Consider the following 27186-nt stretch of genomic DNA (forward strand, 5'->3'; position numbering starts at 1 on the left):
CTGCAAGCTCCGCCTCCTGGGTTCAAGTGATTCTCCTGCCTCAGCCTCCCGAGTAGCTGGGACTACAAGCGCATGCCACCACGCCTGGCTAATTTTTTTGTATTTTTAGTAGAAATGAGGTTTCACCATTTTAGCCAGGATGGTCTCGATCTCCTGACCTCATGATCCGGCCACCTCAGCCTCCCAAAGTGCTAGGATTACAGGCGTGAGCCACCACGCCCAGCCCTCCACCTTCTTCCCTTCTTTGTCTACCTCATGGTCAGCCTCCTCCTCCCCATTGCCCTCATTAGTATTCCTGTTAGTAGGGGCATCTCTTTCATTGTCCACCTCCTCCACAACTTCCTCCTTCTCCTTTAAGTCTTGGTGGTGATCTAGGAGCTGGTGTGCACGGCTGCGTCTGACATGGGGCACACAGGTGATCTGATGAAGGGGATTAAAAAGAAAGTGAGATTCGGGGACTGGTGACAAAGCTGCCTGCCAGAGGTGGCTGCAGTAAGCAGGGAGCCTGATGGCAAATAATACAAAGATGGCTTTTCAGAGCAGCCAGTGGGGGCTTCAGCACTTCTCATTTGCTTCCCTTTTCACGTATATTTCACAAATGTTAACTCCCCCTGCAAGAACCAGACTTCTCGGAGTACTCAGCATCCTCTGTGGCTTGTATGGTAGCTCCACAGACCCCCTCCTGGCCCCGCTCACCTCTGAGTGAGCGTGGTTGGTTTGTGTTGTCACCTGGATAATTACCATGGCTGGCAGCTTCCTGGTAGATGTAGAGTGCTGGGATTATGGGTGTGAGCCACCGTGCCCAGCCCCACACTTTATTATTATTATTATTTTTTGAGATGAAGTTTCACTCTGTCGCCCAGGCTGGAGTGCAGCGGCACGATCTCAGTTCACTGCAACCTCTGCCTCCCAGGTTCAAGCAGTTTCCCCTGCGTCAGCCTCCCAAGTAGCTGGGATTACAGGTGTCCACCACTATGCCCAGCTAATATTTTAATATATTTAGTAGAGACAGGGTTTGTCATGTTGGTCAGGTTGGTCTTGAACTCCTGACCTCAGGTGAACTGCCCGCCTCGGCCTCCCAAAGTGCTGGGATTACAGGAATGAGCCACTACGCCTGCCCCCCACCCCCCACTTCTAAAGCACCAGATCTCATGAGAACTCACTCACTATCATGAGAACAGCAAAGGGGGAAATCTGCCCCCATGAGTCAATCACCCCCACCAGGTCCCTCCCCAACATTGGGAATTACAATTCAGCATGAAATTTGGATAGGGACACACAGGCAAACCATATCAAGGCCCATGACCCAAGTTTAGCCAGTCAGAGTCCTTCCCTGGGACTTGCCTAATCCCTGGTCATGATGCCGTACGGCAGTGAAGCTGCACCCGTGTGACCAGGGCCCTCCTCAGGGACACGGCCATTCTGAGACTCAAGCTGACTCACCAGGAGTGGCAACGACAACAGAAGGCCCTTCGAATAGCAATGTTCCCATTTAGTGGACATCCCCGACGTTTTTCCTAAAGCCTCCACCAGCATTAGTTTCCTTTTCTGTAAAATGCGGATGACGACGTTCTGGGAGGCTAAGGTGCTTGCCCAAGATTTCAACATGGCAGAGCCAAGATTCCAACACAGAGAGGCTGCCTGCAAACCCTGCAGCCTCTGAGCTGGCCCGTGAGATGCTGCCTGCCACCCATTTTGGGGAGTCCCCTGCCTTAGACCTTGTCCTTGGCCCAGGAGAACTGAGGGCATCCTTTGTATAGCTCTGTTTTCATAGTGGGTGAGGGTGGGCACATGTTTGGCTGAGCGTGGGGTGAACAATAGACCCGGTGCCAAGGTTTCCAAAGCCCTCCCTCCCACCCCTCCTCTCGCTCCCTCAGGGCAGATGCATTTGGGGTCACTGTGGAAGCTACTCTCATGAATACCTGTGTGACAAAGGGCTGCTTCATAGAAGAGAAAGTCTCTTTGCCCAACACTAAGCCCAACGCCAGTTAAACAGCTGTAAAGCACACCCATTCCAAGGAAGCATTAAAGAAAAAAATCCTGTATCTCCCACTTAGGTAGGCACATCCCAGCGATGCTGGGGCAGAGCTGCTAATGGCCAGGGGAATGGCTGGCGCGTCTCTCAAAATTGGATCACACTAGCTCCTGGCTCCATCAGCCAGAACGGGATGGCGTGCACTCCCGAGGGGGCTCCGCGACCCTGGAGCAGTGCTGGGGGGCTCTCTGGAGGACAGGAAGGCCCCCGTGCGCCAGATTTTCAGCAACATCAGGATGTGGAGAGAGCCCAGCTCACCACATCCCCTTGGCGAACTGTGACAAGAAACGCACCAGCTTTCAACACAGCTCTTGTTCTCCATCAATGGGTTCCATTGTATGCACGAATTCCCCAGCTCTAGGAGTTGGTTCTGTGCCCTGGCCAGAGTCTGAAACCAAGGGACCTGGTCTCCCCCACTCCCTTCCTCAGTGTTGTGCAGCATCCGCAAAATCTGGTCAAAGAGCTTCACCTCGGGGAGTGTCCTTTCACTTCTCTCTGTGGAGGAGCTGGGAGGGTGGAGAGCCACAGGAACCACTTGGCCATCCGTCCTCGGGGCACTTGAGCCTTTGAGGTTTTCCCCACTGGCCCCACCTCACTGCCCTCCACTTGATATTCCCCATTCAAGTCCAGGCCGGAGATTGGCAAACTACTACCTGTGGCCCATCACTTGTTTTCCTAAATAAAGTTTTATTGGAACACAGCCCATGCTCATTGTTTATACATTGTTTATGGCTGCTTTGTCTTTACAATGGTAGAGTTGAGTACTCATGACGGAGATTGTACAGTTCACAAAGCCTAAAATATTTACTATCTGGTACTTTATTTTTATTTTTTTGAGACGGAGTCTCGCTCTGTTGCCCAAGCTGGAGTGCAGTGGTGCGATTTCGGCTCACTGCAAGCTCCGCCTCCCGGGTTCACGCCGTTCTGCTGCCTCAGCCTTCCAAGTTGCTGGGACTACAGGCGCCCGCCACCGTGCCTGGCTAATTTTTTTGTATTTTGATAGAGATGGGGTTTCACCGTGTTAGCCAGGATGGTCTTGATTTCCTGACCTCGTGATCCACCCGCCTCGGATTCCCAAAGTGCTGGGATTACAGGTGTGAACCACTGTATCTGGTCCTTTAAAGAAAAACTTTATCTTCCCATGATCTAGGTCCAAGAAGAACTACAGAGAATTTAACTTTTGGCATTTCCATTTTTTGGCTCAATTGACTGATTCATTCATTAGACAAATATTTCTTGAGAATCTAATATGCATTAAGCTCTGAGCTAGGTGCTCAGGATACAGAGATGGACAAGGCAGACATGTATGTGCCTGTCCCCAAGGAAAGCAGAGGAGATGGCCACTGTGCAAGCAGCTCACACATTGTTAGTTACAATTGTGCTGAGTGTTACAAAAGAGAGGGTGGTGTGCTCTGTGGACCCAGCCAAGGGGACAGAGACAGCTTCCTGGTGAGAGTAATTTGTCAGCTGAGACCTTGAGGATGAGTAGGAGTTAGCCAGGTCAATGGGCTGGGGAGAGAGGATGGAGACTCCTCTAGACAGAGAGCCCAGCCTGGGCCAGGCAGGACAGAGCATGGCTCCCTCCAGGAGTAGAGTGAGGTCCTGGGAGGAAACATGGAGGTTGAGCTTCCAGAGATGAGCCGTCACTCTACCACGACTGGATCTGATGAGGGACTGGGATTGACCCCTTCTTCCTCAAGACACTGAGGTTTCTATTTTCCCTATGCAAATCTCAGTCTTCTTCTTCTTTTTTTTTTTTTTGAGATGGAGTTTCGCTCTTGTTGCCTAGGCTGGAGTGCAGTGGTGCGATCTCGGCTCACTGCAGTTTCCACCTTCGGTTTCAAGGATTCTCCTGCCTCAGCCTCCTGAGTAGCTGGAATTACAGGCACCTGCTACCACGCCCAGCTAATTTTTGTATTTTTAGTAGAGTCGGGGTTTCGCCATGTTGCCCAGGCTGGCCTCAAACCCCTGACCTCAGGCGATCTGCCCGCCTCGGCCTCCCAAAGTGCTGGTATTACAGGCATGAGGCACCATGCCCAGCCAAAGCTCAGTCTTAATTCAGATCAACATATAGTTTGTAAAGTGGGATTGCCCAATTTGGTAGCCACTAGCCACGTGTGGTAATTGAAATCTAAATTAAAATTAATAAAAATAAACTTTAAAATGTTCAGATCTTTGGTCACACTAGTCATAGTGCAAGTGCTCAAGAGCCACAGTGACACCCCTGTCGGACAGTGCTGCTGGAGGACATTTCCAGCAGAGTAGAACATTTCCCTGGACAGCATGGCCTCAGGAAGGGCCCCGCCCTGTCCTCCATCAAGAAGCCACCATGTGAGGACTTGTCTTTCTTTTCTTTTCTTTTTTTTTTTTTGAGACAAGAGTTTCGTTCTTGTCAGCCAGGCTGGAGTGCAATGGTGCGATCTCGACTCACCACAACCTCCGCCTCCCGGGTTCAAGCGATTCTCCTGCCTCAGCCTCCCGAGTAGCTGGGATTACAGGCATGCGCCACCATGCCTGGGTAATTTTGTATTTTTTACAAATACAAAATTAAAGACGGGGTTTCTCCATGTTGGTCAGGCTGGTCTTGAACTCCCGACCTCAGGTGATCCGCCCGCCTCGGCCTCCCAAAGTGCTGGGATTACAGGCGTGAGCCACCCCGCCCGGCCTGAGGACTTGTCTTTCAAATGGAAAAATAGATTCTGGGCATTGGGGTTTTGGATCTTCTGCCCATGATCAAGTTGTGTGATCTTGGGCGAGTTACTTAACTTCTTCAAGCCTCAGTTTCGCCATCTGCAATACTGGCCCAGAGCAATGTTTGGTGTATGATAGGTAGGGCTCCCTAAATGGCAGCTGAAATAGTTTTAACTTTTGTAGTAGAGTGAAAAAAAAAAAAAAGTACAACCTTAACAATGGCCCCTAGGATCTCTATTAGAGAGAAAATTGTTTTTGTTTGTGAGAGCATTGTGCTAAGTTGCTGTTGGGGGAGGCTGGACTCTGGGGGACGGGATGTTTGAGTCTGCACTGGGAGATCAGGAACCTGTGTGTTATAGGAGCAGGGAGGAGGCAGAGAAGTGGCAGGAGGCTGGGAATCAGGAGGGATGGAGTGGATGTGTGGCAGGCACTGAACATCCTCATTGGCTTGAACTGGAGCTTAGTTCTTCATCCGTCCATCCATTCATTCACTCATAGATCCAACAGGCCTATTTTGGCTGCATGGGTCCAAAAACCTAATTGAAGGAAAGAATTAATGACTTACGTGACAGAATCATAAGCCAGAGGTGAATCAAATCTGGCTTTAGGGAAAGCTGGATGCAGGGCTCTAGCTGAACAAAAGGATGAGGTTTCTCTCTCCTCTGTATTGGCCCCACATTTTCCCATCTCACAAGATGGCGGCCAGGAGCTCCAGGGCCACATGGGCTTCCTGATTCCAGAAGAAGGAAGCAGCAAGAACCTTCCGGGGATCCCAGTGTCAGTCTCCTTGTGAGTCTTTGGGTTAGACTGGGTCACGTGCTTATCCCCGAGCTCATGGAACAGAACGATCTGCTTGGCTCCGGCTCTCAATATTCCGCATGGGCTGGGCCAAAGAAATAAAGGAACAAAATAACTGAAGGGTCAACAAATTGAGGAAACCAAGGAACATGGAGAAAGCTGAGTGGACGCTGGGTATGGAACAAGAGATGTCCACCATAACGAATTCACTCAACCCTCTAGGGCTGGGCTCTGGGGGCAACAGAAAACAAGCTGAGCCCTCAGCCTGCATGGAGCTTACGTTCTATTGGAAGGAAACAGCCTCATCCCGACGGCCCTTCTCTCCCTCCCCTGGGGAGACTGGAGACAGAGCCTCCTCTCCCTCCTGGTCTGAGTCCAGCCCCAGGAAAGGAGTGAAATTAACTGTCCATTGTTTTAGTGACACTTCCTGGGAGCAACAAAGGGCCTTTCACAGTGAGAAAGTGAAGCAAGTAGATGCGGGATGACCTGGAAGTCACAGAATGTGGTTGTCGAGGTGCCAGATGGAAAATGCCCAACAGGTCATGTTCAGAAATTGGAGCTGAAACAGACACACTCTTGAAAAAATATCCATATATGGTTGGCATTTCAGATGCACTTTGTGAAGTCAAGGACACTAGGCTGGGTACTCAGAAACAGGAAGCACCTAGAAGGTCTTGGAAAAATCAGTGAGCAATGGGATCCAAGTTCTCTTTCAGGTCCGCCCTCACTCTTCTGGGTTCATGCAGCTGTGGACCAAGGGAGAACTGAAGCACCTGGCATGTGGCCTCAGTCCCCATCCCTCTCCCTGCCATGCAAACCCCTCTCAATGGAGAATTCTAGGCAGAGGGAGTATCAAGAAAATAGACGGTGGAGGCCCGGAGCACGGAAGAATCAAGGGACTAAAAGCAGAGAGCAGAGAGGAGGACGGCAGGCGGGGGATGGGCCGGGCTGGTGAGCTGGGACAAAACTTAGAGGAGTTTGGAAGCCAAGGACATGAGCCTCTTCATTATCCCGAGAGCCCCCAGATGCTTGGTGAGAGTGAAGCTGGGGGGCGGGGGTCAGGGGGACTGTGTTCATCTCCTAAGGCTGCCCTAAAACAACAGAAATCTATTCTCACACTTCTGGAGGCTACAAGTCAGAAACCAAGGTGCCGGCAGAGCCATGCTGCCTCCAAAGTCCTTCCTTGCCTGGTCTGGCTTCTGGTGGCTCCCATCCATCCTGGCATTCCTCAGTTTGCACCTGTGTTGCTCTCGTCTCTGCCTCCATCTTCAAATGGGCTTTGTTTGTGTATCTCTGTGTGTCCTCTCCTCTTCTTATAAGGACACCACTCACTGGGTTTAGTGTCCGCCCTAATCCAAAATAACCTCATCTTAACCAATTACGTCTGGGAAGCCCCTATTTTCAAATAGTCACATTCTGAGGTTCTGGTGGACATGAATTTTGGAGGGAACACCATTCCATCAATGACAGTGGCCAGTTATGATTTTCACTTGGCAAAAAGGACTCTAGCAGCATAAAGAAGGCTTGAAGGAGGCCAGTTTGGAATCAGGAGACAGTTAGGAGGCAGGAGAGAGGTGGAGGGGGCCTAGGCCAGGATGGGGATGGCAGGAGAGAAGTGGAGGGGGCCTAGGCCAGGATGGGAATGGCAGGAGAGAGGTGGAGGAGGCCTAGGCCAGGATGGGGATGGCAGGAGAGAGGTGGAGGGGGCCTAGGCCAGGATGGGGATGGCAGGAGAGAGGTGGAGGAGGCCTAGGCCAGGATGGGGGTGGTGACGAGGGAGGAAAGTACATGGCATTGAAAGATGTTGAGGAAGGAAAATCCAAAGGATGGGTGGGATGTGGGGCAGAGTGAAAGGTGGACTGTGATGACACCACCCAGGCCGAGTGTGGCGGCTCACACCTGCAATCTCAAAACTTTGGGAGGCTGAGGAGGGAGGGTTGCTTGAGGCCAGGTGTTTGAGACCAACCTGGGCAACATAGACTTCACCTCTACAAAACAAAACAAAACAAAAAACCACAAAATTAGACATGGGGTGCGCGCCTGTGGTCCCACCTACATGGGAGGCTGAGGCAGGAGGGTTGTTGAGCCCAGGAGCTCAATGCTGCAGTGAGCTGTGATCATGCCACTGCACTCCAGTCTGGGTGACACAGTGAGACCCCGTCTCAAACGGGAAAAAAATGGAGACTCCCCAGATTTCTGGGTGGCTTATCAGCCTTATCTTCTGGGAATAAAATTTGGTGAGGCTTAGGATATGATAGAAAATAGACAGGCAGAGGCAAAGAAAGAAATGCTCTTTAAAAAGAGAGAGAAGAAAGCCTGAGCTTGCTGACACCCCACGAGATTTGCCCATGAGCTGCAGGAGTTCGCTTGGCCACTCCTAAACCTCTTGGCTCAGCGCGTGGGCACCACTCAGAAGCTGATGACAGCCCTCCATAGAATAAATAACCCTCCCTGTGAGCTCATTCTTCAATCAGGCCCCTCCTCGTCACTCACTCTGGCCCACGGACCAGGGGGATTGCTGGGGACATAGCCGAATGTAGCATCCGGTGGCTCGGGGGCCAGGACCGCTGGCGCAGTGATGAGCCTCCTCCTCCTCGCTTGCTCTCTGGGGTCACAGCCAGACACGGGGGCAGGGGCAGGTCTTCAGGGCTAGGGTCTCTGACCCAAAATGCTGGGAGGGTTTCCTCCATTGCAGTTCCCTTCGGAGCTCCTGGCGACTCAGAGATAAAGACCACAGAGGCTGCCCTTGGGCTGCCTGGGTTTGCCTGGAATCTGGGTGCATTTCTTGGGGCTCCCAGGACACACTAACATGAACTTGGTGGCTTAGAACAACAGAAACCTATTGCCCCACAGTTCTGGAGGCCAGAAGCCTGAAGTCAGTATCATTGTGCTGAAATCATGGTGTGGGCCGGGCTGCGCTCCCTCCGGAGGCCCCAGGGGAGGCCCCTTGCCTGGCCTAGCTTCTGATGGTTCCTGATGTCACTTGACTTGTGGCCACTGCAATCTTCAAATCCCACGTCTCCATCTCTCCTTCTGCCCTCCTCTTCTTAGAATGCATGTGATTGCAGTTAGGGCCCCCTTGGCTAATCCAGGATCACCCCCATCTCCAGCTCTTTAACCACACCTGCAATGATCCTCTTTTAGAAGGTAACATTTACAGGTTCTGGGGATTAGGACCTGCTACGTCCTGGGGGGGCTTTTATTCTATTTCCTGCAAACTCCTTCACTTACAAGCTGTGTGGGCAAGACACTTATCCTCCCCGTGCCTCAGTTTCCTCATATAAAAATAGCTGATACTCTGCTTTTTGTTTTTTATTTTTTTAAGACAGAGTCTTGCTCTGTTGCCCAGGCTGGAATGCAGTGATGTGTGATGACCGCTCACTGCAGCCTTGACCTCTCAGGCTCAAGTGATCCTCCTGCCTCAGCCCCCGGAGTAGCTGGGACTATAGGTGCATGCCATCATGCCCAGCTCCTTTTGTATTGTTTGCAGAGACAGGATTTCGCCGTGTTGCCCAGACTGGCCTTCAACTCCTGAGTGCATAGACCTGCCCACCTCAACCTCCCACAGGTGTGAGCCACCACACCCAGCTGACGCTCCGCTTTTTAACAAAAGAACCCACAATCTCTAGCTGGCCACAACGTCGTTCAAATACAGACAGCATTTTCCAGGCCCCCTTGCAGCTTCACAAGACCACGTGCCCAAGTCCAGCCAATGGGACGTAAGCAGGGGTTGATGTGTAGGGCTTCTGGGCAGGGTCCTACTCCTTTCCTTTCCTCATTTATGCCATGATGTTTAGAGGACTGGGACCGCCATCTTAGACCATGAGGTGAATTTGGGAGTGGAGGCCAACACGTCATAGGTTTTTATGAAGATTAAATAAGAGGCGCACATGGAGCCTTGAGGAGGGGCCTGACACGCACACATGATCCATGGGGGCTTATTTCTCTTTCCCTACCGCTCCTTCTTCCCCCTCTTCCCCTTCCCCCTTCCCCTCTACCTCTTTTCTTCCTCTCCCCTCCTCCTCCCCCTCCTTTGTTCCTCCCCTCTTCCTCTTCCCACTCCCCTCCCGGCTTCTCTTCCCCCTTTTCCTGTCTTCCTTCCTCTCCCTCTCTTTCTGTCCCTCCCCTTCCATCCCCTCTCCCTCCTCTCCCTCCTCTCCCTCCTCCTCCCCCTTTCCCTCCTCCTTCCCCTCTTCCTCCTCTCCTTCCTCTCCCTCCTCCTCTTCCTCCTCTCCCTCCTCCTCCCCCTTTCCCTCCTCCTTCCCCTCTTCCTCCTCTCCTTCCTCTCCCTCCTCCTCTCCCTCCTCTCCCTCCTCCTCCCCCTTTCCCTCCTCCTTCCCCTCCCCATCCTCCTCTCCTTCCCCCACCTCCTCTCCCTCCCTCTCCTCCTCCTCTCCCTCTCCCTCCTCCTCCTCTCCCTCTCCCCCCTCCTCTCCCTCCTCCTCTCCTCCTTTCCCTTCTCCTCTCTCTCCTCCCCTTCCTCCTCCTCTCCCTTCTCCTCCTCCCCTCCCTCCTCCTCTCCTCCTTGCTGCTGTTTTACTTCTGCGTCTGGGGTTGCAGATCCCACAGGCAACCTTGCGGACAGCATGCGGCCTCTGACAAGTGTTTCAGGGGCTCCTTGAGCGGTGTGTTTACACACGCCACACCCACAGCTTGCTTTTTTTAGTCATTCTTTATTAGTAATAAAAACAACGCATTACTAAGCAAGCCACTGCACTGGGCACTTAACATGCCTTGTTTCCAAACTCTCCAGCAATTACTAGGTAAAATTATTATATTGAATCTTGTGTTATCTTTATGAAAGTCATAGCTATCATTCCCTAATTTAAAGATGAAGATATTGAGGATCAGAGAGGATGTTGCCCGTTCACAGTCCCACAGCTTGTTGTGTTGGAATCAGGGGTCAAACCAACTCTTACCCTTGACTTGGGCTTCCTTCCATGGTAATGTATGGAGCCCGCACAGGGAACTGGCTCTGTGTTAATAAATATTGGGGTTACTAAGGTGAAAAAGATCAACCTCCACCTTCGAGGAATTCCTCATGGAAGGGTTATGCTGCGCTGGGAGACTGTTTGGGGTCAGGTGCTTGAGGTGGTTTCCTGGAGAAGACATGATTTGAACGGAGCCACAGAGAATGGATAGGGTGTGTATAGACAGAAAACGGAGTGAGCTGGGAGTGGCTGGGAGGCTGTGAGCTGGACATGGCTGGGAGGCTGGGGGTGCTGGAAAATCAGGAGGTGGACAGTTTGTCCTGGGGTGAGGATCTTGAGTCTACACAAAGTAATGCTTCCTCCTTTTAATCAGAGATTATGAATTTCTTTCTCTTCCAAGAAAGTTTTGCTTTGTTTTATTTTTTTGACAGGGTCTCACTCTGTCATCGAGGCTGGAGTGCAGTGGCATGATAAGGGCTCACTGCAGCCTTGACCTCCCAGACTCAAGCGATCCTTCTGCCTCAGTCCCCAGAGTAGCTGGGACTGCAGGCGTGACTGCAGGCATGCACCACCACACCCAGCTAATTTTTTGTATTTTTAGTAGAGATGAGGTTATGCCATGTTGCCCAGGCTGGTCTTGAGCTCCTGGACTCAAGCAATCTGCCTGCCTCAGCCCCCTCAAAGTGCTTGGATTACAGACATGAGACACTGTGCCCAGCCATTCTTTAATTTATGTAAATGGAATGCATATTCACTGGGAGGAATGTGGAATATACAGACAGTCACAGAGCAGGCCTCTCCACCGGAGACTTCCTGCTGTCAGGTCAGCAGCAGGCGTGGCTCACCACCGGGAGCCCTTCCCAGCACCGGGCACCCTGCTGTTCACTCGCCACTCACCCCTATATTCCCAGACATGCAAACTGATATACTGTAGATGGGCACGACCCTCTGTGTCTTCTTGTAATATTAAAAAAAAATTGGGGGCCCGGTGCGGTAGCTCACACCTGTAATCCCAGCACTTTGGGAAACCAAGGTGGGCAGATCACTTGAGGCCAGGAGTTTGAGACCAGCCTGGGCAACATGGTGAAACCCCATCTCTACTAAAAATACAGAGATTAGCCAGGTGTGGTCCATGCCTATAGTCCCAGCTACTCAGGAGGCTGAGGCAGGAGAATCACTTGAACCCAGGAGGCAGAGGTTGCAGTGAGCCAAGATCGTGCCACTGCACTCCAGCCTGGGCGACAGAGTGAGACTCGGTCTCAAAAAAAAAAAAAATTTTTTTTTTTGAGCCAGGCATGGTGGCTCACACCTGTAATCCCAGCACTTTGGGAAGCTGAGGTGGGCGGATCACTTGAGGGCAGGAGTTCAGGGCCAGCCTGGGCAACATGGAGAAACCTCGTCTCTATTAAAAATACAAAAATTAGCCAGACGTGGTGGTGTGTACCTGTAGTCCCAGCTACTCAGGAGGCTGAGGCGGGAGGATCACTTGAACCCGGGAGCAGAGGCAGAGGTTGCAGTGAGCCATTGCACTCCAGCTTGGGCGACAGAGTGAAACCCTGTTTTGAAAAAAAAAAAAAAACAATTTTGGCCAGGCGCGGTGGCTCACGCCTGTAATCCCAGCACTTTGGGAGGCCGAGGCGGGTGAATCACAAGGTCAGGAGATCGAGACCATCCTGGCTAACACAGTGAAACCCCGTGTCTATTAAAAAATACAAAAAAATGAGCCGGGCGTGGTGGCGGCCGCCTGTAGTCCCAGCTACTTGGGAGGCTGAGGCGGGAGAATGGTGTGAACCCGGGGGGCGGAGCTTGCAGTGAGCCGAAATCGTGCCACTGCACTCCAGCCTGGGTGACGGAGCGAGACTCCATCTCAAAAAACAACAACAACAACAACAACAACAATTTTTTTTAGAGATACTTGTAGATTCACATACAATTGAAAAGAATAATTCAGGGGGGGTCTCCTGTATTCTTCACCAAGTTTCCCCAAATGGTAAGTTCGTGCATAACCAGAGTGCAGTATCACAATCAGGAAGTGGACGTCGATACAAGCCTCCCACCCAGTTGGATGCCCCCAGTTGTTCCTGCAGGCGCTTGTGTGTATTTAGTCCTGTATCATTTTATCACACGTGTAGGTTGGTGCGACCCACACCACAGGTCAAGATGCGGGACGGTTCTGTCTTAGTCAGTTTGGGCTGCTGTAACAAATAACACCCTAGACCGGGTGGATACAGCAGTCTGTATTTACTTCTCACAGTTCTGGATGCTGAGAAGTCCAAGATCAAGCTGCTGGCAGACCCAGTATCTATGACCCAGCAAGATCACAATGTGCTTAACCTTGGATCCTTGGTTGGCAGCTATCCACCCTCTGGTCGTGTCCTCACCAAGGCCAGAAGGAAAATCATCTCTCTGCTGTCTCTTGTAATCCCAAATTTGAGGGCCCCACCTTCATGACCTAATCACCTCTCAAAGGCCCCACCTCCTAATACCATCCGAATACCGTCACACTGAGAATTAGGCTTGCATATGTGAATCTGCGTGATGGAAGCGTGCTGTTTGTATCAAGCTCCATCACATCCACCCCTCATCTGCCCTTTCTACAGCCACAGTCGCTTTCCATTCCTTTCCATCCTGACAGCCACTCATCTGTTCTCCACCTCTATAATTTTGTCACTAAAAGAATATTAGATAGGCTGAGTGCAGTGGCTCATGCCTGTAATCCCAGCACTTTGGAAGGCCAAGGTGGGCGGATCGCCTGAGGTGAGGAGTTCAAGACCAGCCTGGCCAAATGGTGAAACCCCATCTCTACTAAAAATATAAAAATTAGCCAGGCATGATAGCAGGTGCCTGTAATCCCAGCTACTTGGGAGGCTGAGATGGAAGAATAGCTTGAATCCAGGAGGCGGAGGTTGCAGTGAGCTGAGATAGTACCAAGGCACTCCAGCCTGGGCGATAGAGCAAGACTCCATCTCAAAAACAAAAACGAAAACAAAACAAACACACACACACAAAAACAAACAAAAGAATGTTAGATAAATGGAATTATACATCATAGAATCTTTTCAGATTTTTTTTTACACAGCAGAATGCCCTTGGGTCTCCATGTAATTTTGCGTTCTATAGCGTGAGGATTGTATTCAAGTACACAGCGAGATCACAATGTGTTTAACTCCCTCCTGCTGTGTAGGTTATTTTCACTTAAACATTATTTTGAATTATGCTGTGGCAAATATCCTTGAAGCTGAGTATACACTTGTATAATAAGGATTTATTTCTTAAGACAGGTTCCTTGCACTGGACTTGCTGGGTCAGTGGTCTCGCCAGATTTTAAAGGCATTTCACCTAATTGCCCACTACAAGCAAGGTTCTCATTTTTACCCCTCCAGCTGGTGAGGGAGACATTTTGGCTCCCTACATCCTTGCATCCTTTCTTAAGGAGAAAACTCCTGTCCCCTGAAGCTCATCTCAGGCCCAGGACTGCTAAGAGTGGACAGAAAGGGGAAGAGAGCAGAGGAGCCACTTGAGCATCAGTGAGAGAGGGGACGGGGCCTGCTCTCTGGCCGGGCTCTGCAGCACAGGGTCCCAGTTTAGATGGAGAATTATGTGACAACCCTACCGATAGGACATGGGGAAGGAGTAGACCCTTCTCTGCCTTCTCCTTCTCAGCCTCCTGGACCTCTTATTTCACTTAAAAGACATCATCACAGTGCAGGGGTCACAGGCATAGACAGGGGGCCGGACAGCTCGCAGAAATGGTGATGGAAGGAAAACATGCCCCCACTCCTTTCTCCCGAGACACTCAGCCCTCTTCTCCAGCGCTCTGCCTCCCTCCCCAGGCTTTCACAGAGGCAAGAGCACTGCGAGAAAGTCTCTTTCCCCTTCACCAGGACCGCCCAGACATGCTCCAGCTTCAGGGCCTTTGTCTCTGCCGGTCCCTCCAGCTGGTGGGCTCTTCCCGTGCTCACCCCTCCCCTTCTGCAGGTTTTCCCCAGCGCCACCTTCCCAGTGAGGCCTTCCTTCCTTACCCGCCCACAGCACTCTTAACCCATTTTCCTGCTGAAATTTTCCTGTTAGCGTTTATCACCAGCCACAAGCTATGCATTTTATGTATTCATATATATTTGCAATCTGTTTTTTTCTGTTTTTGCTGTCTTGTTCCATGCTTTATTCTCAGTGCCAAGAACAATGCCTGATGTGCAGGAAGCACTCAAAATGTCTTATTGAATGAATGAGTGAATGAATCAACCCATGAATGGGTGGATGAAAGACCAGACAAATAAACAGTGAATGGAAGCAGTAGAAGGAAGGAAGGAAGGAAAGAAAAAAGAAAAAGAAAGAAGGGAGAAAGAGAGAAAAAAGAAAAGAAAAAAGGGAAGGAAGAAAATAAAGGAAAATAAAAAAAGAAAGAAAGGGAAAATGGAAAGAAAGAAAAATAAAGGAAGGAGGGAAGGAAGGAAACAAAGAAAGGAAAAAAGGAAAGAAAGAAAAATAAAGAAACGAAGGAGGGAAGGAAGGAAAGAATGAAAGAAAGAGAAGGAAGAAAGAAGGAAAGAAAGAAAAAGGAAAAAAGGAAAGAAAGAAAAATAAATGAAGGAGGGAAGGAAGGAAAGAAAGAAGGGAAAAAAGAAAAATAAATGAAGGAGGGAAAGAAGGAAGAAAAAATAAAAGAAAGAGAAAGAAGGAAGGAAGGGAGGGAGGAAGAAAGAAAAAAAGAAAGAAAGAAAAAAGGAAGGAAGAAAGAAAGAACTCTACCATAAGCAAAGCTGTCCTGGCATATGTGGCATCTGGCAGGCAGCAAGTCTAGACTGGGGAACAAAAGGGACTGTTGAGGCCTGGGGTAAACCAATGTGTTTTGGTCTACAGCGGGCACCTGCCATCCCACTCCAGCCCACGGCTACTTGGTCTTCAGTTTTTCAGGACTGAGCAGAAAAATCTCAACTTACATTAGCATAACCATCTAAAGTTGCCAGTATTTGATCATTTCTTAACCCACAGAAATAGTAATCCCATGTGATTCAAACTTAATGCGCAATTCCTTCCAACTTAAATTGTTGCCAATAAATTAATAGTAACAACACCATTAACAGTAACCCACTGACTGCTTGGGCCAAAGGGACACATCTGTGAGGTGGGGTCCTCCCAGGGCCACTGCTTTGCAAGCTCCACAGAGGCCTGGAGCAGCCAGTTGCCATCCCCCAAAGCCAAATGCGGAGCCCTGCTTTGGGCCAGGAGCTTGGTCTAGCCACCTGTGTGCAGAGAGGAGCTGGGCTGGCAGGCACGAGAGGTGGTGATGTGCGACATGCAGGGTGAATCCCTCCTCCAGGGGTGGGGGCTCAGGTTCTTGACCAGCGAGAGACCCGGCCTCTCCCTGCTGGAGCCCCAGGTGCCAACTGCAAGCCCTTGCAAGGAGCACCCATCTCAGCGAGAGGCTCTGCCCCCAGCGGATCTCCGGGAGCCAGCAAGAGGCAGGTATCACCTTTGCCAGGCCCAGACTCAGCCAGTTTTGCTCCCGGGGCTGTGATTTCATCAGGTGGCGAGAGCTTGTCAGCACTGGTGCTGCGTGTAGTCAGATGGATGCACAGATGTTTGAAACTCGGAAAGGTGCTAAAGAGGCTTCTGGGCAATTAAGGGAGTTGGGAGAAGAAGAATCTTCTAGCAGTAAAACAACCAGTCACCCAGCACCATAAGGGGCCTTGACGGGACTGAAAAGTGGGCCTATCCATGTGAAGGGCTGCGTTTCAGGCATGAGCCTTCCCTCACAGCATCATGACGGGGCTCACTACCCAGGGCCCAGCCCAAGGGGTTCAAGTCTCCCCTTCAAGGGCAAGTAGGGAGGCTCCCCCTCCCCACCCTGCTGAGCATTCCAGGATCTCCCATCCCCTTTGGGTTTGACATAGGTCCCAGGTGCTGACAGTTCATTCTGTTGTTCATTCCCCGACTGTCTCATTCATTCAGAAGCACATGTACATTAAACATCTACCACAAGGGATCCTTAAGGGAACAGGAGACAAAGCTCTGGTCTTCTGGCTCCCGCATTTGAGTGGGGCGGATGGCAGACAGTAAACAAGTGGATATGCCATATGAGGTGGGGAGTTGTGGGAAGTTTTTCTCCAAGAGAAGGCGGGGTGGTCAGTGGGAGAGAGTTCTGGGCTGACTTTGCACATGCAAAAAATAGTCACACTCAGTGCACACATGCAACACACACACAGAGAAAGAAGGAGAGGGAGTCAGAAAACCTATAGGGAATCTCTTAATTTTACATTCATGGAAGTTGGCCACATTCTAAATAACCACATTTTATTCCATGGCTTCATATGATCTTTTTCTTTTCTTTCTTTTTTTTTTTTTTTTTTTTGAGATGAAGTTTTGCTCTTGTTGCCCAGGCTGGAGTGCAATGGCGCAATCTTGGCTCACCATGACCTCCACTTCCTGGGGTTCAAACGATTCTCCTGCCTCAGCCTCCTGAGTAGCTGGGACTATAGGCATGCGCCACCATGCCTGGCTAATTTTTATTTTATTAGTAGAGATGGAGTTTCACCAGGTCGGCCAGGCTGGTCTCAAACTCCTGACCTCAGGTGATCCACCCGCCTTGGCCTCCCAAAGTGTTAGGATTACAGGCATGAGCCACCATGCCCGGCCTCATATGGTTTTTATTTTGATGGATGTAAACACTCTGAGTTCCTAGGGCCTCAGTCAAGGCCCACTCATCAAGCCCTTCCCTGGAGGTGCCCATCTGGGACTTTCTGGAATAAGATTCCAGCCACCAGCCCATCCAGGAAACCCCGCGCGCCTCCCTCGGGCCGCCTTCACTCCTCTGCAGCCCTCGTGTCTTGTGCTGTAGACCTGGAAGGTCCATACACATCAAAGCCCAAGTTGCTCAAAACCAAACCCTGGGCTCCTGTTCTAGATGTTGAATCGGGGTATGCTCAAGGGTCAGCCGCTGCTACAGGCCAGGGAAAGTGTTTGCCTTTCGATGGGTGTTTGTGGGTGTGAGGGGGAGCTGTCCTTCCCTCTCATCAAAGATTGGAGTTTTCTAATGCAAGAAAGAAAAAGGAAGGAGAGAAAATCATTTAGGCATCACATTAAACAGGGACATAACAGAGGTTAATAATATAGGGCCTGGTGGGCCAGGCGCAGTGGCTCACGCCTGTAATCCTAGAACTTTGGGAGGCCGAGGTGGGTGGATCACTTGAGCCCAGGAGTTCAAGACCAGCCTGGAGAACATGAAGAAACCTTGTCTCTACAAAAAATACAAAAATAAAAAAAGAGTAGAGGGGCTGGAGCCTGTGCACCTGGCTTCAGATCCCAGACCCACTTTCTATTAGGTTGGTGCAAAAGTAATAACAGATTTTTACATTACTTTCAATGGCAAAAACTGCAATTACTTTTGCACCAACCTAATAGCTGTGTGTTTTGGACTCCTTACCTAACCTCTCTGTGCCTGGGTTTCTTAAACTGTAAACAGGAGATAACGATAGTCTCCACCTTATGGGTTGCTGTGAGACGTAAATGGGTGAACACATGTGCACTATTTAAGACAGTGTCTGGCATATAGAAGCCCCCAGTAAATGTCAATTTGATTATTTCAATCAAGTGGAGAAGACATGTGAAGCAGTAAATGTCTGATTCCATACCTGTGGCAGGATGGCAGCCACCTGTTGTGACCCAAGCCCTGCACTGTTTGTCCAGCCTTCACCATATAGCTGTCCCCATCTGGCAGATGAGGAAGCTGAGCCTTGGAGCTGGTCAGAGGCTTAGACGGGGTCCCGAAGCTTGAAGGGTGGGACTGAGGTTCAAGCCAGGATTGTGTGACTTGAAAGTCGATGTCCTTTTCTTCTGGGCACCACTGAAGGTTGGACTGGCTTGGCCCAGACTGCCTTCCCTTTTGACAGGGTAGTTCGTCAAGCCATATTTTCTGAGCACTGCTGTGGGCCAGGCACTATGAGCAAGACACAGTGGCCTGGAGGGCTGTCCGCGTGATTTGTGAGGCTCCTTGTTCAAACATTAAGACTTTCTTTTCTTTCTTTTTTTTTGTTTTTCTTTGTTTCTTGTTTTTTTGGTTTTTATTTTTTTGAGACGGAGTCTCGCTCAGTCTCCAAGGCTGGAGTGCAGTGATGCAATCTCGGCTCACTGCAACCTCTGCCTCCCGGGTTCAAGCGATTCCCCTGCCTCAGCCTCTTGAGTAGCTGGGACTATGGGCACATGCCACCACGCCTGGCTAATTTTTTGTATTTTTAGTAGAGACGGGGTTTCACAGTGTTAGCCAGGATGGTCTCGATCTCCTGACCTCGTGATCCGCCCTCCTTGGCCTCCCAAAGTGCTGGGATTACGTGTATGAGCCACCCACCGCGCCAGGCCAAATATTCAGACTTTCAAGAAAGCAGAGCATTGAATGCAGTGCAGGGCCCTTACGAATGCGGGGCCACATGCCGCTTGCCAGGTCTCACGACCATGAGGCCGGCCCTGTCTGCCTGCGTGATGCTTGGGTATGTGTGTGTCTTTTGGGGGCTATGATACCATCAGTAAGGTAAGGAAGACATGATATTAAGTTTTTTTGTTTGTTGTTTTTTTGAGACAGAGTCTCACTCTGTCGCCTAGGCTGGAGTGCAGTGGCACAATCTCGGCTCACTGCAACCTCCCCTTCCCAGGTTCAAGCAATTCTCCTGCCTCAGCCTCCCGAGTAGCTGGGACTACAGGTGTGCGCCACCATGCCTGGCTAATTTTTTGTATTTTTAGTAGAGATGGGGTTTCACCGTGTTGGCCAGGCTGGTCTCGAACTTCTGACCTCAGGTGATCCACCCACCTCAGCCTCCCAAAGTGCTGGGATTACAGGCGTGAGCAGCTGTGCCCAGCTGAGGAAGACATAATATTAATATTGATACTCAAACCAAGACAGCACAACAAGCGCTATAAAGGGAGGCCCTAGGCTTTGTGCAGAAGCCACAAAGAAACACACACCTTGCTTAGTCTGAGATTCTTTGCTTGAAAATGAATTCTCATGGGGAATTTTCTGCAACCCAGGACACTTTTAGAGGAATTCAGAAACATTTACCGAGAGCTGCGTGTGTTTTAGGTGCTGAGAGATGATGCTGAAGCCAAAAGAGGCATGGTCTGTGTGATGCTTAATACTGAGTGTCGACTTGATTGGATTGAAGGGTGCACTATTGATCCTGGGAGTGTCTGTGAGTGTTAACTCAGATTAACATTTGAGTCAGTGAGCTGGGGAAGGCAGAGCCACCCTTAATCGGGTGGGCACCACCTAATCAGCTGCCAGGGAACATAAAGCAGGCAGAAAAAATGTGAAAAGAGAGCATGGCCTAGCCTCCCAGCCTACATCTTTCTCCAGTGCTGGATGCTTCCTGCCCTTGGACATCGGACTCCAGGTTCTTCAGTTTTGGAACTCAGACTGGCTTTCCTTGCTCCGCAGCCTGCAGATGGCCTATTGTGGGACCTTGTGATTGCGTAAGTTAATACTTAATAAACTCCTATATATATCCTATTAGTTCTGTCCCTCTAAGAGAACCCTAATACAGTCTGTCTCCTGCAGCTCATGGTCTAACTGGGAGACAGATGATAGGCATTAACCAAATGATCCGATGAATGGATGAGCAGGTACAGGTGTGATAAGTGTGGGGCCAGGGAGAGAAGGGGTGCTCTGGTTGCTTTTAAAAAGGGGCTTTGACCCAGTTTGCCAGGGATGTCTTTGCTGGGGGGAGCGCCAAAGCTTGAGCAGACTTTGACCAGATGCAAAGCAGAGAGAACAGTGTCCCAGGCAGAAGGCCGATGTGTGCCAAAGCCCAGAGGGGGACAGAGGAGCCTCAGGCCAGCATGACAGTGCCCTGTGAGGGAGGGGCAGGGAGGTGGGAGAGGAAATGCTGAGGTCCCAGGGCTAGATTAAAAAAATGCCGCCTATGGGCCAGGTGCAGTGGCTCACGCCTGTAATCCCAGCACTTTGGGAGGCCTAGGCAGGTGAATCACCCGAGGTTGGGAGTTCGAGACCATCCTGGCCAATACGGTGAAACCCTGTCTCTACTAAAAATACAAAAATTAGCCAGGCATGGTGGCAGGTGCCCATAATCCCAGCTACTCGGGAGGCTGAGGCACGAGAATCGCTTGAACCCAGAAGGCGGAGGTTGCAGTGAGTCAAGATTGTGCCACTGCACTCCAGCCTGGGCGACAGAGACAGACTCCATCTCAAAAAACAAACAAACAAAAACTGTCACCTACAGCCACTCAAAGATTTCATCCTCGGAGCACTGTAAAGCCAGTGACCGAGTTTAGCAGGAATTAACTGACGCAATCAGTGTTCTGAAGAGGTCACTCTATTCTCTTCTGCCGCCTTCCCTCCCGTCCTACCCACTGGGACCCTCGGACTGGTTCCAAGGAGCAGAGAGGCTGAGATTTACCACGACGTGACAGAAAGGGCTGTCATTTCATTTGAGCCAGCCTGCTGCACAATGATTGTCATCTTGCCAATTACCATCCTGTTTCCAAAAGCACTTTATTGCTGGAGGAATGAATGGGGCTCGATATGGCCTTATATAACAGTTGGACTTCCCTCGCCGGCTTGAAAACAGAGCTCCTGTCAGACTATCAGCCCATAAGAGCATGCCTTGGATCTGATAAACAGACGTTGGCAAATGGGAGGTTGGAAGGTGGTGCCAAGCTCTGTGGTTTGGACTGGTCCTATGAGCGAAACAATCGAAGCAGCTAACCATCTGCAGGAGGGAAAAGAGGAAGGGAAACTCAGCCTGAGACACAAAGAGGAAGTGTGGGAGACAGAGGGGCCGCAGTGGACGAGGTCCCAGTCCCAGCCCCGTTACTACAGCCTTGCAGACTACTGCCTGCCCACCAGCAGGATGCCACGTTTGTAGGGCGAGTAGACGTTCTGTTGATTTCACTAACCTTCCTTCCTGTGGTGCCTCCTTCAGGAATAAAGGGGTGGATGAGGTTGCAAGGATGGAGATGGGAAGGAAGATTGGTGGACAATTTTGTAGAGAGCTTTTGCGGATGATGAGTTGCCCTTCGTACTTGCTGATGTTCACTTACAAGCTGTAAAGCCTTTACTGCTGTTGCCATTGGATGGTTTTGGACTGAGCTAGGCACATTCTCTTGCACAGGGCTACTTGAGACCATGGCCAACTTGTCAGAGGCTTGGCTGCAAGTCTACCCTGCTGGCCTGTTAGGAGTTCAGGGAACCACACAGAGACCCCACTTGGGCATACTTATAGGACAACATCTATCATTTGGATGGACAGCGGACAGAGACAAGATCTGCTCAACCAAATCCACTTCCCCAGCTTTTATCATGTAGGCCACTGTTAGGCATGTATTCTCTTAAATGCAGCCCAAAGCATCCCCAGTGAATACACCAGAGGGCCCCCTGAATATTCTTGCCAAAGCCTTTGAGTGTGCAAGGCCTTGAGCCAGCAAGTGAGAATTCCATTCCTTGTGTTATGCTGCCTTGGTGGAAGCAGTGCTGTTTGGCTCTTGATACAATGCATGGTTTAGAGAAGCAGCTCTTCAGATTTTATTCCTGGAGCCCTCTTCTTTTTAAGACCGATCATGTGGCTAGAGCAGGCTTCTCTGCCTGGGCACTGTTGACCTTAAGGGCGAGATCATTTCATGTTGTGGAATTATGTTCCATGTGGTGGGGCATCCCTGTCTTCCACTCACTAGATGCCAGTAACACTCTCCCCTAGTTGTGACAACCAAAAATGTCCCCAGGAGGCAGAACTGTTTCCTGTTGAGAACCTTTGGACTAGAGGAATAATCTGGAATCAGATTTGTATACAGTCTACCAAAATTCTGAGCGTCCTTCTCTCCTGACCTGCCTGTTTCTTTACCTGTGTCAAGACTGCCATGCGATCTTGGTTACATCCTCATTCACAGCTAGGATGACTGTCACAGGACTCTCATGCAGAGGGAGGGCCATCTTCCTACGGCCTCATTGGTTTTCCAGAAACGCTTGAGCAAATTCCGGGTCACTGCTGGGCAGAAGTGAGGACTTGAGAAAGTATTCAGACAGCTGCTTCCGAGCTCCTCTCACAGTTAGACTGAGATGGAGGACAGCTGAGAGGCTCAGTAATGTCCATGGATTTGGCCCCAAATTGGCTATGGAGAGTAGGTTGGAAGTTTAAAAAACAATAATAGATTTTCTTTTCTTTTTAGACAGAGTCTCATTCTGTTGCCCAAGCTGGAGTGCAGTGGTGCGATCTCATGTCTGAGTCTCCCCAGTAGCTGGGATTACAGGCGTGTGCCACTATGCCCAGCTAATTTTTGTATTTTTAGTAGAGATGGGGTTTTGCCATGCTGGCCTCAAGAAATCCACCCGCCTCAGCCTCCCGAAGTGCTGGGATTATAGGCATGAGCCACTGTGCCCAGACAATAATATAATTTCTTGTTAGAGGCCGTCACTCCTGGATTTGAGATGAGTTAGGTGTCAAAACCGGAAGTGGAGATTTGGTAGAGTGAAGAGGCATTTCCAGCACCCAAATGGGCCTTGAGAATCAAGAGACCTCATTGCAAGGAAATGGTCTTGGATGGGAAGTGCAGGCCCTGCCACCGGTGTGGCTCACTCTCCCCACAACGCCAAACAGCAGCCCAGTCTCAACGGGGGAACCTGGGTGTGTTGGGGTTTTTGTCTAACATCTTGGAATGATTCATTCATCTTCTGCTCTCAATCAAATCCACTGGCCTTGTTGAAGACCTTCCCATCATCACAGAACCCTGTTTTGTATAAAATAAATTGGAACCACTGGCATTGAATGGAGCAAAAAATAGAACTCTGTGAGAAATACTTGCTGTCCAGTAAGCCGGGGGCGGCTTTTCTTTACCAATGCCTCCTTCCCTTTGAAAACAGGAAGTCACCATGGCCAAAAGTAAATGAGTTTCCAGCCGGCTGGGTCAAAATCCAGACTCCACCTCCCACTCCCACCTGTGGGCTCCATGTCAACCTGCCCAACTTTCTCTTTGGGTCTTGACACCAGCGGCTGACTAAGCCCCTGTCAACGCAGCCCTCCTCTTTGATCTGAACTTTCTGGCACTGTCTCTGTTCTTGTTCAGAGGGAAGCTTCCATCTTCCTCCTCATGTCTCCTCTTGGCCCCCTTTCCTAATCCTTGGAGTGCAGGCAAAACTCTGAATGTGTTTTTTCCTCAGATAAATTGTAAAAAGGGGCAGGTGCCAGAGCTGTCCAGCCAGCACTCAGTATTCTTACCCACCCTGGCTTAGGGTTGAAGAGGAGAACTGTCTGAATTCTTCATACAGGTCTCTGACCTAAGACATTTCATGAGGTTTGTTTAATTACAGGAGAGTGAAAACCCTATGCAAACTTTCTTTTTCTTTTCTTTTTTCTTTTTTTTTTTTTTTGAGATGGAGTCTCGCTCTGTCACCCAGGCTGGAGTGCAGTGGTGTAATCTCAGCTCATGGCAACCTCTGCCTCCCAGGTTCAAGTGATTCTCCTGCCTCAGCCTCCCAAGTGGCCGGGACCACAGGCGTGTGCTACCATACCTGGCTAATTTTTTGTATTTTTAGTAGAGATGGGGTTTCACCGTGTTAGCCAGGATGGTCTTGATCTCCTGACCTCGTGATACACTTGCCTCAGCCTCCCAAACTGCTGGGATTACAGGTGTCAGCCACCGCACCCGGCCACAAACTTTCTTAGATAAACAAAGAAATTTATTGACTTATGTGGTTGAAAAGGCCAGTGGCTTCAGGCACGGCTGGATCCAGGGGCTGAAGGATGCCATCCGGAATCATTCTCTATTTCTCTCTCTCTTTTTTCTGGAGACAGGGTCTTACTTTGGCCCCCAGGCAGGAGTGCAGTGGCACAATCACAGCTCACTGCAGCCTTGACCTCCTGGGTTCAAGCAATCCCTGCCTCAGTCCCCCAAGCAGCTGGGAATACAGGCATGCTCCACCATGCCCTGTTAATTTTTGTATATATTTTAGAGATGAGATTTTGTCGTGTTACCCATGCTAGCCTCGAACTTCTGAGCTCAAGCGATTTGCCTGCCTCAGCTTCCCAAAGTGCTGGGAATCCAGGCATGAACCACCATGCCCAGCCATTCTCTATCTCTCAATATTGCTTTCCTCTCCTGGCTTTCTTCTAAGGCAGATTGTGCCCTGTGAAACCCTGACCACCAACTTTCAGCTTACACCCTATCACTGTAGAAAGTCCAGGCAAAATGCACATTGGACAGGCAAAAATGGTGGTGCTGCTGCTGGTCACTACCCAGACAATAGATGTCATGCAGCTGCCTGTGCTTGTTTTGTTTTAAAATTTCTCTTTATGTTTTCTGGTCCTTCTCAAACTTTGAACAGTGAACATGGGCTTAGTCAGAGATATATTGGTTACAAACAGCAGACACCTACTCAAACTAGCTTAAGCACTAAATACTTTCTTTTTCCAGGGATTTAATGGTCACTTGGGAAATCAAGGGCAGGTAGTGAGGCCTGACTTTGTGGAGATTGTCAGAGGAAATCAGGAATCCATTAAGAATCAGCACTGTCATCTCACTTTCTCTTCATGATCATTCGCCTCTGATCATCCTCCGGCATTAGATCCAGTCTTCCTCTCTGTCTGATTGTTTTGCTTTTCTATGCTGGTGAGAGGACGCCTCTTAAACAGGTACCCAGAGGTAGAGGTGGCGCTTGGGCTTCCGGGTACCTCTTGCTGGGATCTTAACTCACTGCAACCTCTGCCTCCTGAGTTGAAGCTGTTCTCGTGCCTCAGCCTCCAGAACAGCTGGGACCAAAAGTGTGTGTGGCACCACACCAAGCTAATTTTTTTGTATTTTTTAGTAGAGATGGGTTTTCGCCATGTTGGCCAGGCTGGTCTCAAACTCCTGACCTCAAGTGATCCGCCCAACTCGGCCTCCCAAGGTGCTGGGATTATAGGTGTGAGCCACTATGCCCAGACTAGAGTACTTGTTTACCAGGTATTTGAAGACTAAACAGACAACAGATTAATAACCAAAACAGCAGGTGTAATTTTATAAATAGAAAAATTAAAGATCATAGAATTAGCAGTACCAATGGCTTAAATAAAAATCCTAGGCCAGCACGGTGAAACCCTGTCTCTACTAAAAATACAAAAATTAGCCGAGCATGGTGGCAGGTGCCTGTAATCCCAGCTACTCCGGAGGCTGAAGCAGGAGAATCGCTTGAACCTGGGAGGCACAGGTTGCAGTGAGCTGAGATCGCACCACTGCACTCCAGCCTGGGCGACAGAGTGAGACTCCATCTCCAAAATAAATAAATAAATAAATAAAAATCCTAGATAGATGATAAGAATTACTGATGAAAAATAAATTAAAATATTTTTCCTTCAAGCAGATAAAAAACATACTAGACAAATCACAAGATTTACTACTTTTAAAATCTTATTTAAATTTTAGAATAGTTTTACATTTACAGAAAAATTGCAAATATAGTACAGAGTTTCTATAGGCCCCACAATCCGGCTTCTTCTATTATGAACTTCTTACGTTACTATTGCATATTGTCATAATTAATAAACTAATACTGATGGATTTTTATTAACTAAAGCCCATACTTGATAGACATTTCCTTAGTTTTCCCCGTGTTGTTTCCCTACTCCAGGATACGACATGACATTGAGTCATCCTGTCTCCTTATGCTCTTCTTGGCTGCGGCAGTTTCTTAGACTTTCTTTGTTTTTGATGACCTTGATGGTGGGAGGCCAAGGTGGGTGGATCATCTCAGGTCAGGAGTTCGAAACCAGCCTGGCCAACACGGTGAAACACCCTCTCTACTAAAAAAAAAAAAAAAAAAAAATTAGCCGGGTGTGGTGGTGAGCACCTGTAGTCCCAGGTACTTGGGAGGCTGAGGCAGGAGAATCTCTTGAACCTGGGAGGTGAAGGCTGCAGTGAGCTGAGATTGCGTCACTGCACTCCAGCCTGAGCCACACAGAGTGAGACTCCATTTAAAAAAAAAAAGATGTTTTGTAAAACATACCTCAATTAGAATTTGTCGGATGTTATTTTCACCAAACAGACTGAGTTTAGGGGAGGAAGATCACAAAGGTGAAGCCCCTTCTCATCACATCCTATCAAAAAAGTACGCACTGTCAACACGAGTTATCACTGTTGATGTTGACCTTGATACCCTGGCTGTGGTTGAGGTTGTGTTTGCCAGGTTTCTCCACTTTAAAGTTACCTTTTTCCCTTTCTTACTTCTTAAATCAACCCCTTTCTTAACCTATTGTGTTTATTCGTCCACATAGTGTCTCTGCACTTGATGCATGACTCTGCATTTGATGCAAGAAGGGAAATAGAATGTCATACCGTTGTCATACCATTGAAATGCATTTTTCAAGACCATCCCGACCAAGATGGTGAAACTCTGTCTCTATTAAAAATACAAAAATTGGCCGGGCGCGGTGGCTCACGCCTGTAATCCCAGCACTTTGGGAGGCTGAGGCGGGCGGATCATGAGGTCAGGAGATGGAGACCATCCTGGCTAACACGGTGAAACCCTGTCTCTACTAAAAATATAAAAAATTAGCCGGGCGTGGTGGCGGGCGCCTGTAGTCCCAGCTACTCAGAGTCTGAGGCAGGAGAATGGCATGAACCCGGGAGGCGGAGCTTGCAGTGATTCGAGATCGTGCCACTGCACTCCTGCCTGGGGGGCAGAGCGAGACTCCATCTCAAAAACAAAAACAAAAACAAAAACAAAAACAAAAACAAAAACAAAACAACAATTAGCCAGGC

General features: G+C 49.6%; 1 pseudogene, besides 3 other annotated features; it reads right to left on the reverse strand.

The window, feature by feature from the left end:
- On the reverse strand, positions 232–401 carry PTMAP6 (prothymosin alpha pseudogene 6; annotated as a pseudogene).
- Positions 10560–11173: an enhancer, noted in NCBI's record as "H3K27ac-H3K4me1 hESC enhancer chr20:55286729-55287342 (GRCh37/hg19 assembly coordinates)". NCBI's record gives its function as "activates a minimal SCP1, AML or CMV promoter by ChIP-STARR-seq in naive H9 embryonic stem cells {active_cell/tissue: H9 hESC(naive)}" and the evidence as "EXISTENCE:reporter gene assay evidence [ECO:0000049][PMID:30033119]".
- Positions 11174–11787: an enhancer, noted in NCBI's record as "H3K27ac-H3K4me1 hESC enhancer chr20:55287343-55287956 (GRCh37/hg19 assembly coordinates)". NCBI's record gives its function as "activates a minimal SCP1, AML or CMV promoter by ChIP-STARR-seq in primed H9 embryonic stem cells {active_cell/tissue: H9 hESC(primed)}" and the evidence as "EXISTENCE:reporter gene assay evidence [ECO:0000049][PMID:30033119]".
- Positions 21002–21071: an enhancer, noted in NCBI's record as "active region_18144". NCBI's record gives its function as "activates an Ori minimal core promoter by ATAC-STARR-seq in GM12878 lymphoblastoid cells {active_cell/tissue: GM12878}" and the evidence as "EXISTENCE:reporter gene assay evidence [ECO:0000049][PMID:35858748]".

Source organism: Homo sapiens, chromosome 20 (genome assembly GCF_000001405.40).
Source record: "Homo sapiens chromosome 20, GRCh38.p14 Primary Assembly".
Taxonomy (NCBI): domain Eukaryota; kingdom Metazoa; phylum Chordata; class Mammalia; order Primates; family Hominidae; genus Homo; species Homo sapiens.